General features: G+C 41.2%; 1 protein-coding gene across 3 annotated transcripts in view; it reads left to right on the plus strand.

The window, feature by feature from the left end:
* The window catches only part of ATXN10 (ataxin 10), a 173,474-nt gene that overhangs the window by 132,444 nt on the left and 23,957 nt on the right, over nt 1–17,073 (plus strand). For 2 of the 3 annotated variants that reach the window (NM_013236.4, NM_001167621.2), the window contains one exon: nt 2,682–2,745. In NM_013236.4, the coding sequence (NP_037368.1) occupies nt 2,682–2,745 (64 nt within the window). Of the gene's footprint in view, nt 1–2,681; nt 2,828–7,420; nt 7,517–7,733; nt 8,158–17,073 lie in introns of those variants that run through there. The other variant, XM_047441314.1, reaches the window with a different exon arrangement.

Below are 17,073 nucleotides of genomic sequence, written 5' to 3' on the forward strand. Positions count from 1 at the left end.
TAATACTTACTCTAGCATTTCAGAATTAAACGAAGTCATTAAAGCATCTGATTGCCTAGTATATGCCAGGTGTCTACTAAATAGTAGTTCATTTCCCATCACACCTTCAGTGCCTGGAAAAAATTACAGAAATTAGATGGTTACCAACTAATTTTTTCTCTTCTTCCTGGCCTTTGTAAAATAAGGATCGTTAATAGATTCCTAGCAAGCCTGTGTGTTAGAATCAGCTGGAGATCTGGTTTCTTTCAGCGGGACATGGCGTTTGGAATAGTTCATGTTCAGATGACTGAATGCAGTTTAAACACTTCTATGCGGTTCTGTATCATCTTAGGTTATGTATATCTCACTAGGGATGTAAAGTCAAAATACTGTTTAATTCTGAAAAGAACTTTATTTTATATTTCATTAGATTAATTTGTATGTTTTCAATTTTTATAACTTTAAATTTAATTTTTTAAAAGTAGATAAAACACAGAGGATTCCAAAGTCAAAATTATACAAGGCACATTCACAGAGTCTCCATTCCTGTTTCCTCCACCCCATTCTCTTCTTTACCCTGTGGATAACCATTATTTGTTTTTGGTTTAACCTTCCATTGTTTCTTGTTCAGAGTATTTAAAAATACTCCTTTATCACACACAAGATTCTCATATAAGGCTATTAACATGTTGTAATCTGGCTACATCTCCTGGCGATCCTCCCGCAGCAGTCCATCAGCAATCTTCTCCACTCACATTCACAGCCATATAGCAGTCTACTGTGTTTGTACCGTAGTTTATGTAAGCAACCCCCATTCGTGGAGACTTGAGTTGTTTCATAATAAGTTGTGCTGCACCCAGTATCATTAGTCATCAGAAATGCGCATCAAAACCACAATGGCATACCACTTCACTTACACTAGAATGCCTACTACAAAAGACAGACAATAGCAAGTGTTTATGAGATTGTGGAGATGCTGGAACCCTCATAAATTGCTGGGTGAAAATGTAAAATACTGTAAACACTGTGAAAACAGTCTGGCTGTTCCTCAAATGTTTATAACTCATATGATCTAGCAGTTTGACTCCTAGGTATATACCCAAGAACAATGAATACTTATATCCACTCAAAAACATGTACATGCACATTCAGAGCAGCATTATCATGATAACCTAGAGGTGGAAATAACACAAATGTCCATTAGTGGGTGAATGGAAAAATGCAATGTGGCATATCCGTACAATGCACTGTTCACGTTACTCAGCCGTGAAAAGAAATGAAGCGCTGACATGCCACAACATGGGTGAACCTTGAGTGAAAGAAGCCAGGTTCAAAAGGCTACATGTCGTTCAGATTTTCTGACTCCGTTATAGGAAATGTCCAGAATAGGCAAATCCAGAGAGACAGGAAGTAGAAGGATAGTTGCCAAGGACTGGGGGGAGGGAAGAATAAGGAGTGACTGCCAGTGGGTGTGGAGTTTCTTTTAGGGGTGAGGAAAATGTTGGAAAATTGGATCATGCTAATGGTTATATAACTCTGTGAATATACTGAAAACCACCAAATTGCACACTTTAAAAGTGTGAATTTTATAGTTTGTGATGATGTCTCAGCAAAAAATGAACTGGGCCAGGCACAGTCACTCATGCCGATAATCCCAGTGCTTTGGGAGACCAAGGCAGGAGGATCACTTGAGGCTGGGAGTTTGAGACCAGCCTGGGCAACATAGTGAGACCTCATCTTTACAAAAAAATAAAATAACAAAATAAACTATGCTGTAGTGAATAACCTTGTGTCACACATTATTTCATGGGGTAGTGTGCTTTTGATCTGTAATTTTAGAAATGGGGTTACTGGGTTATGTGTCATTTTGCTGCTTACACCCAGTTCCCTTTCATGGGAGTTGTACCATTTTCCCTCCAGCAGTGTATGAGAGTGTCTGTTTCCTTGTGGCCTTACCAATAGCATTTGTTGTCAGACTTGGTTATTTGTTAGTCTGGCAGGTAAGAAATGTGTATAATTATAATTTGCTTCCCTCTTATGAGCACGTTTGAACATATTCTGATGTCTTTTTAGTTTATTTGTATTTTCGGTGCCATGTATGTTTCATGTATCTCACCTGTTTTTCTATTGTATTGTTGGTGGTGTTTAAATTTTTACAAGTTCTTTATATATTAAAATATTAATCCTTTGCAAATATCTTCCAAATCCGTGATACCTTACAAATAATTTTCCCAGTTCTCATTTGCCTTGAAAAACAAATAGTCAAATTTTAAAACCTTTCCCCTGTTGCTTCCGGATTGAATCATAGTTAGGAAAGCTTTTCCTATTCCCAGCTTAGAAGAGGAATTCACCCATGTTTTTTTCTAGTACTGATTTTCTTTATTATTTAAGTTTAGATCTCATATCTATCTGGAGTTTATCCTGGTGAACAATGTTAGGAAGTGATCTACTTAGATTCTTTTTTATATGGCTACCTACTTGCCCCAATATTTTTTTTTGAAGTCCAGTGAAAATAAAATAAAATATCACTTTTTGTTTACATGTCTGTTTTATGTAGTTCTGGGTTGATATAGATATTTCAGATAATAGTGCAAACAATATTATAACATTGAGTAAGAAAACACAAAAGGAACAAGTCATCTGTAATCTCTGACTATAGCCATGCTGTTTTCAGTGTATAAACTTATCTTCTTTCTCTCTAGGTAAATGAGCTGGATGGTATCCCGTTGATCCTGGACAACTGCAACATCAGTGACAGTAACCCCTGTATCCTTGCATGTGAATTACCATGCACAAGTTTACAGCCGGGGCCCTTAGCAAAACAAGTCCCTTGCCTCATGTTCATTCAGTATGTAGCTGGCTGCCTTGCTTGCTTGTTTACTTGTTCCTGAGAACCAAATCATTTTCTCAGAGTTATGGTGCTAGAATATCATTTCTGTAACCTTTGTAGTATGGTAAGCTAGTTTTTTCATGGTGAATAAGACATTCCAAATGAGCATGTGGCCAAAAAGCACTTTAAAACCTGGGGCACAGGCAGCCCATGCAAGGCACTGTGCTGCGCATCACCGGTGTCACCTTTCCAGTGTGTGTGTGGTCTCTAGAGTAGACACGAACTATGGCATATTGTTTTGCTATAGAGATTCTGAGTACCCAGTCTTTTGGAAGTACTGTTTTAACAAGGGTTTGGCAACGTAGAAACATGAGGAGCACTCTGGCTCCCTAGCAAGAGGAAGGAGCATCTCAGTGGTGCTGAATTCTCATCTTCGGAGGGTTTGTCCTGCAGCCCTCTGCGGCAGAAGCTGAGAGCACTGGCTCTTGCCCTGGCTTGGGTTGGCCACCCTTGCTGGAGGGTGTTCTGCAGGGACCCTGCTTTTTTCCTACCAGTTCAACTAGTTGTACTATACAAAACTGTACAGTGGTGACTAACCAGGGACCGGATACAGCTTGTTTAGATTTGAGATAAAACCTACTGTTTAATTTCACGAACTTCCCTGGTGAAAGCCAAACTTAGCTGTGTCCCTTGTCCTGGTCACTGCTTGGCTGGTGGTGGGGCAGGGGTGAATAAGGCTACTGCAAGGACTGGGAGCGTAGCCTGCGGGAGGCAGTGAGGAGCCTAGCCTAGCATTGAGGAGACTGAGGAGGGGGGCATTTTAAAAATAAAACTATGGCTTCTGCCAAGAAGAGAAAAGCAGCTGATGAAAATCATGTGTTTCAAAGTAAGTAGACTGAGCGATGCTTATTATTTGTGCTGAAGATACTGTCATTTGTCTGATTAGCAATAGAAAACAATCTTATTTTAAAGAGCACAGTAGCTTGTAAGTTCAGTCAGGAAAAGACAAATACACAGCCTCAGAAGACTCCTCTGCAGGGTAAAGCAAATTTGGTTTAGTGCGTGGCATTATCATGAGTCCCTGAAGGCTGTGCTCATTAAAGAGTGTTGACATTTTTTTAGCCCCCCAAAAAGGAAAGAAAAAAGAAGAAAGCTTCTAGTCATGGGAAAGCAGTACGAGAATGTTCAGGTACAATTGCAGATGTTGCATTTCCCAATGAAAACGATGATTTATTATGAAAAAAGAAATTCACTCACAGTTTACTTTTACATTCCCTGAATTGACCTTCCAGTGAAGCAGGGTGTTCATTGCGTCTTTGGCTTTTAGCAAAGACCAGAAAATAAAAAGACTGTTGTACACGAGCACATTGTAGGCCTACAGATGCTCGCAGCACCTTCCACCTTGGTGTCCTCCTTGCCAGATGGCCATCCGTTCATTCAGTTCTTCCTTCAGGAAACATTCATTCAGTCCCTCTTGTGTGTTTACACCCATTGCCTTATTGAACCCTGACAACACCATGAAGCAGATACTATGATTATCATCCGTATGTTGTAGATGATGAAATAAAACTGAGTCTCTAGCTTGCCCAGAGGTCAGAACCAGATTTTATACATGTGAGTGCCTGACCTTAGCCACTTCCCCACACTGCCTTCTTAAAAGTCACCGGGAGGAGACAGAGCACATGCAGAGAACCACATAAACATATTCATGTAGTGGAGAAATGGTTCAAAGTTACACATGGAAAAATTTATATGGATAGCTATATCTTTAGCTGGATAACTGGCTTTTAGAATGATAATCAGTGAAATATTGCAAGATCACGGAATCTCCTGAATCATTAAGAAAAGATAAAATATCACAAGCATCTTTAGTGTTATGTGTATTCAGTAATTCTTTGGAGTTGTATTTATTAAGCTTACCAGATTTTAAAGGCATATAAAATGTGGTAAGATATGAGACACATACTGAAATATCAGTGCAAAGGGAGAATGGTAGTTGAATGGTCAGAAACGAAAAAGCCTTACAGCCTAGAGATTCAGTTTTTAGATCTGAGCTATAAATTAAAATCTGGCCTTCGTAGTACTAAAGTAAATAAGGACATGATACAATTTCAAAATTCACCTTATTCCCTAGGTAAAACCACACTGATGCTTCTTCCAGGCCATTCCCAAAGAATTATCTAATGACTCCTACTTTACTCCTCGCTTCCCATTCACTCTTTCCCCCCCTTTCTTGTGCATTTTTTCCTTTATTTTTTTAATTCATGAAAATAATACACCTATATGGGGATTTTTAAATTCCAAAAGGCATTCAATAAGGGAACAATATCTCTAGCTCCACTTTTTACACTTTTTAATTCACTCTCTTAGCTATTTCTTCTAGTAGGTACTTTTGTATATCTAAATAATATGCTTTATTGCTGTTTCTTGATATATCAAGTTTTGGTGTGACCTGTTTATTTTATGACATGAACATTCAGCTCCTGTACACCACCTCCTCCCCTCCCTCCCTTGTGCTTCCCCTGGAGTTAGGACTGCACATCCCGTTCCCTGTTGCCCACGCTGTAAATGAGGCTTGGCATCTTCTGAAGTGTTTGCTATTTGAGGTGTGTGTGAGTGTGTGTACGTGCATATGTGTGTATACATTACAATGTCCTTGGTCAAACCTTTTGCCCATTGGGATATTTTTCTTTATTATTTGTTAACACATCTTTATATATTCTAGATTGAAGTTCTTTGTCAGCTACATGTGTTGCTAGTATTTTCTCTTTCCTGTTCTGTGATTACCTTGTCATTTTCTTTATAGTTTCTTTTGAATAACAGAAATTCTTTACTTTTAGTCAAATTCATCTCTTTTCCTTTATAGTTAAGGTTTTTTGCACGTGTATCTTGTTTTAAGAAGTATTTCTTTACCCTGAGGTTATGATGATAATAATATATTATCTTTTGAATGCTTTATAGTTTTACCTTTTATATATATATGTCAAATTCATTTAGAGTCAGCTTTGGTGTACGGAGTGTGTTAGGATCTATTTCTATTCTCTCCAGATGGCACACAATTGTCTTGGCCCTAGTTACTGAAAAGAACATGTGTTTGTTCACTGTAGCGCCACCTTTATCAGAAGAATTGATACAAGTTTTGAGTCTGTTTGTGGACTCTGCTTTCTTTTCCATTCATCTTTTTGTCTATCCCTGCATCAGTATGATGGTCTTAATTACTATAGCTTTCCAATATGTCTTGATAAAGGATAAGTCAGTTCTTCCAATTTGTCTCTTCTTTTGTAACAGTGTTAGGACCATTTTTGGTCATTTGTATTGTTGCATAAAAGTTTTAGAATCAGTATAAATTCTACACATTTGGTCGTGTGCACATGCACATACATGTATATACCTGTACACACACAGAAAACCTCGTTTACCACTAACAAAAACAATTTAAAGCCCCCACATACTGAGTTATTCATTGAAATTGCATTGACTGAAATGAATTTGATGAGAATTGACATACAGTACTTAGTTTCCAACCCAAGAACATCTTATATCTGTCCGCTTATTTAGGATTATTAATTTTCAGTTTTACTCTTTTCTGTGTACTTCTTGAACTCCATTGCATGGATTTTTGTATGTATTACTTTGTTGCCATTCATTTAAAAGTGTTTTTCAATTTTTATTATAACTTCTTTTTTGACTCGTGGATTATTAGAAATTCATTTCCAAACAGTTGAGAATTGTTCAGTTATCTTTTGGAGCTTGATTTCTAGTATAAATGCATTGTGATCAAATAGCACCTACTTGATATCCTCTGTCTTATGAAATTTATTGAGACTTGATTTATGACCTAGTAATATGGTCAGTTTTTGCAAATATTCTATGTGAGCATGAAAAGCATGTCTGTTTTCCAGTAGTGGGGTATAGTAATGTTTATACATACATTAGGTCAAGTTTGTAAATGGTGGTATTTAAAACTTTTATGTTTTTACTGATATTTTTGTCTACTTTGATTTATCAGAGAGGTATTTTAAAATGTCAACCTTTGATTATGGATTCATCTAATTTTCTTTTTCATTACATAAATTTTCCCTTTATATGTTTTGAGGTAAGGTTTTTAAGTAAAGGTGTATGATAGGTCCTGAGAAATAGTCCTGTTATCATTATGAAGTGACCCTCTTTATCTCTAAAAATGATTTTCTGCCTAATATTAATATAGCTATCCTAGCTTGCTTTGGATTGGTATTTACATGGTACAATTTTATCAGTCCTTTTATTCTCAACCTTTCTGTCTGAGATGTGTTTCTTGTATAAAGTATATACAGTCATGTGCTACATAGTAATGTTTTGGTCAACACAGACCCATATTCAACCTTGGTCCCATAAGGCTGTAATACTGTATTTTTACTGTACCTCTTCTATGTTTAGATACACAGATACTTATCATTGTATTATAGGCACCTACAGTATTAAGTACAGTTACATGCTATACAGTTCTATAGTCTAGAAGCAGTAGGGTATACCATACCGCCTGGGTGTGTAGTAGGTTACTAGGTAATATAGCCTAGAATGTGAGTACATTCTGTGATGTTCACACAATGATGATATTGTCTCTATCCCCAGTGCCACCATCCAGTCCACACTTGCATCATTGCTGGCCCTGAACTTCGGCAGTGACTTCCTAACTCATCTTTCAGTTTCTGCTCCTGCTGGGTCCAGGTGATTTTTGATTCCCCATTCATTCAGTGTCATGATCTTTGAAAACCAAAACTGGATCATTCCTCTCTGATTCTCCCACTCCCCACACCACCTTGCATAAGCATGCCCCTGTTCACAGAGCCTCCTAGACGGCCCATCATCCTCAGAATAAGCCTAGTCTATCACATTCTAAAAGGTCCTCTTCATTTGTATCCAGTGCTGTTCTCCCCTTCTTCAGCATTCCCCAGGCACACCTACGTTTTTGTTTCCGAGAAGGATCTCAGTTCCTGCGTGAAGGCAGTTGTCCAAGCACATCTCTGCTTGTGCTCCTCCTGGGCTTGGTCATCCTCATGCTTCACACCCAGCGTTCTGTGTCTTTTCTCTCAAGTCCCAGCTGAGATAGGCCACCCGCTCCGATCCCTGCCAAAACTTGTTCTGTTCCTTCAGCTCATCACAGGTTATTGTTAAATATGTGTGCATTTATGTCTGGATTACCCGCTGGATTGCTTCCTAAGGGCAGGGATCAAGTTTTCTGTGTTTCACCTCAATATAAATATACCATTGTCTTGCATGTAGTAGATAACCAAAAAATATTTCTTAGATAGATACCTGAATGGGAAAAGGAATGAACAAATAAATGAGCAAAGAGCAGCTTGGTGAAATATGTGTATGTGTGCGTGTGCATGTGTGTGTATTTATTTATCTGGGGGGAGAGGGTGGTTCTAAGCTCAAGAGAAATGTCTCCCATGAGTTCTTTGACTCGGGTAAATTAAGTATTCTTGGTTTGTCAGTCATATTATTTAAAATTTGGTTTAACCCATTTTTCTAGTAATTAGCACCATCCAAGTTTTATTGAATTTAATTTTAGTATTTTGTGTTAAAAAGCAATAGATATTTTGGGCATGCTGAGACTAGGAATTAGTGCTGGTGTCGAATATCCACTAATAACACCACCACTCTTCTCTGAGCACTCTGGATAATGTCCTTCTTGGGACAGGAGTGAGGCCTGGGATGCCTTTGGATAGGAGTCTACCCGTGCCCCATGGGACATCTGCAGTCAGGACTGTATAGAACATTCCACTTTTGTCGGCCACCCTACGGGTTAGGAAATCCAAACTGGCCTGTCAGAGCAGATTAGAAGCAAAAACTGCCCCACAGTAGGGGATGGGGCTGGAAGGGTTCCTTTTCCGTTTCTTGGAGGTAGCTTTTAGAGACCACCAGGGATTTCCAAATCCAGGGAAAAGGCACCAGCTACAAGGGGAAGCTTAACTCTGAAGGACCGCCCTGACTGCTGCCTCCTCAGGGACACGAGCCCAACTAGTGCCCAGCTGTTCACTCGCCCAACTCACTTTTGGGTCACCCACAGTAATGACACAGTAGCCAATGCCATCGGAAAATTCCAGCTCCGCTACCACAGAGGCAATTTCTTATTTGTCAGTTTATTGTGGGATTTTTTGTTGTTGTTGTTTCCAAATAGAAACAGCTGAACTTTATTTGAAGTGTTTTTTCTTTCATTCTTTTTTGATCTGTGTTTTGATCGGTTGTCCTTGATGTGGGTTTGTTTTTTTTTTTTCATATTGTTTTTACTGGGGGGAGGGTGTGGGGACAGGGATAGAATGAGAGTCCAGACTGGGTTGTTTTGGGTTTTTTTGTTTTTTTCTTTTTTCTTCCTTTCTTCATTTCTTTTTTTTTTTTTAATGGAAACACCTAATTTGTAAGAAAACAAAATTCACTTCTGTACAGAAATGTAAGAGTTTATAGGAATAATCACTGAACAGTAGTTTTCCCGGTAATCCTATGTTGAGGAAGAATGGCACAGTGGCAAGGGCATCAGTCCTGTGGCCAGGCAGACCCACACTCAAGTTCTGCCACCCCTTAATTTCCGAGCATTGCACTCTATCTCTCTAAGTTTTAGCTTTGTCTGTAGAATGGGACCTACCCCAACAGGGTTATAGTGAGTGTGAAATGTTATCATGCCTATAAAGTGCCCAGAAATAGTTTCTCAACAAATAAGTGTTTTTGTACAAATATCCTATGTAGCTATTCATTCCTATAAGAAAGGTAAATTTTCGTCTGTGATTGCACTGTGGGTCAGTGGTGAAACTCAAATAATATCACCGAACAGAATAGAATCCAGAAACAGATTCACCCACAGTCAACAAAGGCCTCACTGAAGTTCACTGAGAAAAGGATGGTTTTTCTCATAAATGGTGCTGGACCAATTTAATGTCCATAGTGGGGAAAACATGACCTGGGAATCCTAACTCACACCATTCAGAAATGTCAATTCTAGTTGAATTTATAGACCTCAGTGTGAATGGTAAAACAAAAGAGCTTCTAGAAGAATCACAGATGACTTTGGTTATTATCTTGGATTGGGCAAGCGTTTCTTAAGGCACACAAAGGCTAACTTAAAAACACTAACTGTAAGAGAAAGACTTTGAAACGATGTTTGCGTTACATATATCTGACAGAGGATAAGGACTTCTACAAAACAACAAGGAAAAGAAACAATTCAGTTTTTAAAAATGACTCAAGACTTGCATGCCACTTCACAAGAGAAGAAATCCAAATGGTTAGTAAGCATATGGAATGAATTCAGCATCAGTAGTCATCAGGGAAATGCAAATTTAATCCACAACAAGTAACCACTAGACCCCACCAGAATGGCTAATTTAAAAGCCCCAACAATACTCAGTGATGGCAAGGATATGAAGCAGCCTGAACTAATACATGATGGTGGGATGTAAATAGGAAGAATTGCTTTGGAAAGCTTTTTGGTTGGGAATGTCTGCTAACATTAAACATACAGCTATCCTGTGAATCAGCAGTTCCACTCTAGTATATCCCCAAAGAGAAATGCAGATACATGTTTATTAGAAGAGGAGTCCTCATCCCCTCAGCCGCAGACCTGGTACTGGGCAGCACAGCTGGAGGTGAGCAAGCATCAATCACCACCTGAGCTCCGTCTCCGGTGAGATCAGCAGGAGGTGAGTGAGCATCAGTCACCACCTGAGCTCCGTCTCCCGTCAGATCAGTGGCGGCATTAGATTCTCATAGGAGCGTGAACCCTATTGTGAGCTGCACATGTGAGGGATCTAGGTTGCATGCTCCTTATGAGAATCTAGCTAATGCCTGATGATTTGAGGTGGAACAGTTTCATCTGAAACCACACACCCCCATCCGTCCTGGAAAAATTGTCTTCCATGAAACAAGTCCCTGGTGCCAAAAAGGTTGGGGACTGCTGCATTAGGAGACACGTGCAAGAATGCTCACAGCAGCCTTATTCTTCAGAGCCCCAAAGTAGAAATAACCCAGATGTGCAGTAGTGGAATAGGTAGTTAAATTGTGGTGTGTTCATGTCATGGAATACCATACGGCAGTAAAGAGGAGTGAACTGCTATGTGTAACACATGGATGAATCTCACTAGCATGATACTGAGTGAAAGAAGCCAGATTCAAAAAGACCATGTACTGTACAGTTCATCTACCTGAAGTTCAGGAACAGGCAGGATTCATCTATGGTAATAGAAGTCAGAATAATAGTTACGTGGGGTAGAAGGGTAGGGATTGGCAGGGGAGGAGGATGCTGGACATGTTTTCAGTCTTCCTGTGGTGGGGAGTCACATGGAAGTACACGTGAAAGAACTTACCTAAGATGAGCAGTGCAGGTAGGACATTCTGCTGCACTCGTATTAAAATTGTTTAAATCATTTATTGAGTGCTTTTGGTATGCCAAATCCTGTGCTACATTTTCAGAACAGTTCTCTTTGGGTTTTTCTGTTTTGTTTTCACTTTTTTCCTTTCCCTCCCTCCCTCCCTCCTTCCCTGCCTTCCTTCCTTCCTTTTTCATGGTGTCACTGGAAGAGTCCTCTTTGTTGGAAAAAATTGTTTCCATTTTACAAGTGAGAAAACTAAAGCTCTTGAGAGTTAAAGTAGCTGGTCCAAGCTCTCCTGGCTTGTGATGGGACCAGGGTGTAAACCCAGCTTTCTCTCACTCCAAGGCTTTGGTCCTAATTCAGACGTTTAAACTCCACACAGGTCCTTCATCCATGTAAAGGATGAATGTCAGTGTTTCTTTCCATTGTAATTCCTTGAGGGACAGGTGACTATACATCTGTGTTGGATACAAAATCTTTCATTAATCCTACTGAGCATCTAGCACGTAGTAACCACTCAATAAAATTCACTGTCTGGCCAGGCGCGGTGGCTCCTGCCTGTAATCCTAGCACTTTGGGAGGCTGAGGTGTGTGCATCACTTGAGGTCAGGAGTTTGAGACCAGCCTAGTCAACATGGTGAAACTGTCTCTCCTAAAAATACAAAAAAAAAATTCGCTAGGCGTGGTGGCACGCACCCTTAGTCCCAGCTACTCGGGAGGCTGAGGCAGGAGAATCGCTTGAACCTGCAAGGCGCAGGTTGTAGTGAGCTGAGATTGTGTCATTGGCACGCCAGCCTGGGTGTTGCAGCAAGACTCTATCTAAAAAATAAAAATAAATAAATAAAAATTCACTGCCCTATTTTGATCTTAGATCATAATCAGGAGAAAGTGCTGAGCACTGAGATAGTAGCTCCTTGGGAAACAGATACCTCTCCCGTTTCCTCTCTTTCCTCCTTTTAGACTTCGGTCATGTATGTCTTCCTCTCAGAGTTCTTTCTAGATCCCTTCAGTGAGCTGAGTGCCTCCATTTGGCGTGTTATAGTTGGGTTGGGTGGCTGTGCCTCTCCCTGAACATGACACACCAGAATACCCAGATATGTAACCTTTCCCCCAAGGAAAGTTTATCCCAGGTGGGAACTATGTCATCTTGTTCCTGTACCCTGAGTGCATTCCCAACATTGGACCCTGTGAACCCAGGGGACTGTTTCCAAAATGTGCTCCAAAGCATATTTTGTCTATAGTATCTTAATAGGTAATATACGGGAGAAGCCTTCTTTTAATAAAATGTGAGAAAGCCTGTGTGAAGCAGATGTTCTGGCTTGCAGAACCTCGTGGAGTCTTTATTAGTCACATGTGCATTTTGGAGCTTCCATTTGGGAAATTCTGAACTGTAGTGCCACATCTTTGGGAATGCAGGAATCTTAGAATAAATGTAGGAACATGTTCTGTTCTGTACTCTTCTTGGTGGAGAATCTAGCGTGGTATCAGGCCTGCCAAACAGCAGCCGGAAGGAGGCTCCTCAGGGAAGTGTCTTAAACACCTCGAGATGGCGCAGCTGGCTAGGCTCGGTGTGGTTTGTAAAAGATAGCAATGAATTTCCATGCCAGGAGCGCCTGCTCTGTGTTCACAAAGCAGTGTGTGTCTGCTTTAATATCTCATTTTGGCCATCCTGACGTTTGTTTGATGCAGTGAATGACTAGGACATCTTCCTGCCAAAGCCAGCCTTTCTTCCTCTGGAGGGGCGGCCTCTCTTCCGCTGATTTCTACATTCTCAGGATTAAACAGCTTATAAGCACTATGTGTTAATTGTTCAGTTATTGAAAACCCATTAGTGCTGTTTTGCTTTTAAGAGAGAATCTTTTTGGTATGGCTTCCCATTGATTTAACTTTTTTTTTTTTTTTTTTTTTTTTAAGACAGAGTCTCACTTTGTCGCCCAGGCTGGAGTGCAATGGCGCGATCTCTGCTCACTGCAACCTGCGCCTCCTGAGTTCAAGTGATTCTTGTGCTTCACCCTCTCTAGTAGCGGGAATTACAGGCCCATGCCACGACGCCTGGCTAATTTTTGTATTTTCAGTAGAGACGGGGTTTCACCACGTTGGCCAGACTGGTCTTGAACTCCTGACCTCAAGTGATCCCCCTGCCTTGGCCTCCCAAAGTGCTGGGATTACAGGCGTGAGCCACCCTGCCCAGCCTTAATTTTTTTTTTTTTAAGTTGTATAGTAATTCTCCCACCCTCAGCTAGTGTGATTTATCTGCGTAAACCAGATCAATGAAGACAAACAAGTGCACACACAGAAGGTGATTTCACAGGTGAGCAGAGGCCTCCCAGGGCCCTGTATGAGTGAAGGGAGCTGATTGCCGGGTGCAGGACTGTGAGATGAATTGGTGATGCTCCCAGCCCAGACCAGTAAGAGCAGCCCACCGCCACCAACTGCCTCCACTACACAGATGCAGGAGTCACCATTCAAACAGACTCATCCCTAGTGAAAGAGTGAGGGGGACCTGCTTTAGCCAGCTCTCCTAGTACCTTAGCAACGGGCTCCCAGGGTGAGAAGCTGGAAGTTGGAGAAAGACATGCTGGAATGCATAAGCTTTCAGAAAAGAGACTTCCTTTCCTCGCTCAGGTATCTTGGCAGGTAGTCAAACTGTTTTAAAATGAGACTGTACAAGTAAATATTCCAAGTTGTGCTCCTTCAGGTTTTGTCTACTCAGCTTTTGGTTTTGTGCCTCTCATTTTCTTACACCTCCAGAATCACAGAGGCTAGAAGCTAAAGCTGTGTCAGCACACTGGGAGTTTTACAGTGTACGGATTGGCAGACAGCCTGGCTTCTTTCCAGGGCATTAACAGTTATGCACTTGTGTGTCTTTAGAGCCATGGTCACTGCGTCCCTCTCTCTGCCTCAGGCCTCTGTGTTCCTGCAGGCCAGTGCCTTGCGTTTGTCCTGCCAAGCCTGGTTGCTCAGCTCTCCCTGGCTCTCAGGAGTCAAAGCGCATCTGGTTCTGCTTGTCTGGTTTACCTGTGTTAAAAGCAAGACTCTGCATGCTTATTCTCACATCAGTCAGAAGACGCCAGCCTGTTGTTTTTCAGAGCGAGGTTCTCAGTGTGAGCCATGTGGGCGGTCCTTTTTGGTTTGAAGGTGACCACCCTCGCTTTCAGCGGACCGGGGCAGGGATCAGGGATCAACAGCCTGGGGCAGGGATCAGGGATCAGGGGGCAGGGATCATCACGCAGGAAGCTGTGTGAAAGAGGTGTGGGAAGCTGCTTCCCTGGACTTGCTCTCGGTTACTTCAGCTGCCTGTCTGCTGCGTTTTCCCAAGCGTGCTTCTCAGTGGTTGCTGTTAATGTTCTAAGGGCCACCATGTAACATTTATTTGAAAACAGAAACAAAACTGTATGTGGACACTGATTGCCTGTTCCTAAGGACCTGCTCCTTAGAGCCAAGCCCCGTGACTGATGCAGGCTGATGGCAGCATCCTGGGGCCTGACCTTGGTGCACTGTGTCTCTGGCTTCTTTGCATGCCTAAAACTTGCGTAGTCTGACACGTAGGGAAAACATGAGAAATCCATGCCTAAATAATTTCACCTTAATCGTCACTATTCTAGACCAGTTGTAAGCTTACTAGCTTAAGAAAGTATTTTAAATTTAGAAGCTACATGCAATACTTGTTTTTCAAAATTGTTTACTCAAACAGTACATTTAACAGAGTAGCCATCCTGCATTCCTCCTGGTTTCTCTGTAGTATGAAGAATAGAATAGAAAATAGAATAGAATAGAATAGAATAGAATAGAATAGAATAGAATAGAATAGAATAGAATAGGCTTTTATAATTCTTAACTTTGTATTTTAGAAATTTTGTATCTGATGTATAAGATCAGATCATAAGCCTAAAGTAGCCTAAAGTATCAGCTCAAAATCCACATGCCTGATGGTTTCCTTCAAATGCTGCCTCTGTGGGTAGGAAGCACACTCTGATTCCACTGAGCCTGTCTCTGCACGGAACGAACACAAAGTTCGGTAGTCACAGGACACCCTTGCCGTGCTGCATAATGATGTCTCACTCTGTCCCCAGGTGGCTTTACCAAGCCACATCACTGACGTATTCATTGTAGTTGACTCAGAACCACTAGGGCACTTCTGTGATCACAGCAGTCCCATGCAGGAAGCTTTACCTTCAGGAAAGCTGCTGGATTGAGACTGGAGGGAAGTGTGACTGCCTGTGCATGAAGTGCTGAGATGAGTTCTTGGCCTGTGGTCTGTGCTTGTATACATTATTATTATCATTTAATGTATGTATTTTCTTATGAAGTTAATTATTTGCCAATTTTTCTTTTTGCATTAGATTAATTAAAAACAGCAGTGACTTTTGGATACGTTGAGAAAGTTAATACCTTTTTAAATTGCGAAACTTAAATACCATTGCCACACAGATTATATATTTTGTGAGACACTTGAGAGACTGGGTAGCCAAAGTTTGGCATAAAGGAACATGTTCCAGTAACCCTGATAATTGTCAGGATTTTTGTCTAAAAAGACCTTAGTCACATTTAGCAGTGACCAAGGGCCTGGTCAAAACGTGAGTGTGTCACAGCCATTCAGCACTGTTGGACTGTAACTCCTGGGCTGTTTTATTTTGAGATGATCATTTCTATCAGGATCAGGAAGTGTTCTATTCTCTGTACCAGTTATTCTAGGACCAATACATTAAAAAGCAAAAACGTATTGGGCCTGTTGGATTCTGTGAAGGGTTCTTCGAAGGAAAATCTCTAATGGGACTTATAAGCAGGCACTCATTTCCTTATCCAGGAAATGAAAAGGCCGTGTGCTACGGTGGGACCACCAACCTAAGGAAGATGCAAGCTCTGATCACCGTCTAGTTGGAGAAACAGGCCATTGTGATAATACAGGACAGAACGCTAAGGGGTGGTAGAAGAAAGGATGGCCTACTCAGAGGCTCTGACCCAACCTGCACATCTCTCATTTGTGTTTCTTCTAATGATAAGTGACTTGGACTCTGAGCAACTTGGAGGGAATTCAGAGGTCTGCTTTTCTGCCTGGAGTTGACTGCTTCTTATGGAGTGAGATGGGGTGGCTGGAGGAAAAGGGAAGCCTCTGGCTGCTTTGGGCTTTCTGATCCTTGTGGTTTTGTAGATCCACATTATCCCTTCATTGGAGAAAGTATAAAAATAAAGCTAACTTTTAGATGTGCTCACCTTTTCAACTCTTACCATTCTTTAGTCTTAAAATCTTCATTGAGGTCAAGAGAAAAGATGTTGGACCCCGTGGCCGCAGGCATTGCCAGGGTGGTTTGCTTACCCCGGCCATCCCAACAATGGTGGTTGGTTTTTGTGAGCTGCCGGGAAAGTCGTCTTGGGGAATGGACAGACCTTTTCTTCAGGGTTAACTGAGCACAGCCGAAAACAGGCCCTGTGCTGTGAAAGAGCCTCAGTGGTGGACAGAAGCCAGGGAAAAGCACGAATAGAAATGGTTCGAGTTTCTATGAGAAGGACCCAGCCTTGCCTTTAAGATTTTTCACCTGAATATGACGAGACTTAACTTTTACAAGAGAGTCTTGCCTTCGTCTTTGGAAAATGACCTAACTTTAACATTCTCCAAGAAGCTCAGAGAATGATGACTCTGTCAGATTCAGATAGAGATGTGCACTTTCTGACTGAAGATAGGAAAAGCCTGTAGAAAAGTCAAAATATTTTCCCAGTTTTTTGAGAGAAGCCAAAGTGTATCAGAATCAAAACTACTTCCTTTGTGTTTCTCTCCTAAAGCACTTGTAGAAACGAGTACAATTACCAGGCATAGTGGCTCACGCCTCCCAGCTATTCAGGAGGCTGAGGCAGGAGGATCGCTTGAGCCTGGGAGTTTGAGAGCAGCCTGGGCAACTTAGTGAGACCCGTCTCTTTAAA

The sequence above is a fragment of the Homo sapiens genome, chromosome 22 (assembly GCF_000001405.40).
Source record: "Homo sapiens chromosome 22, GRCh38.p14 Primary Assembly".
NCBI lineage: Eukaryota > Metazoa > Chordata > Mammalia > Primates > Hominidae > Homo > Homo sapiens.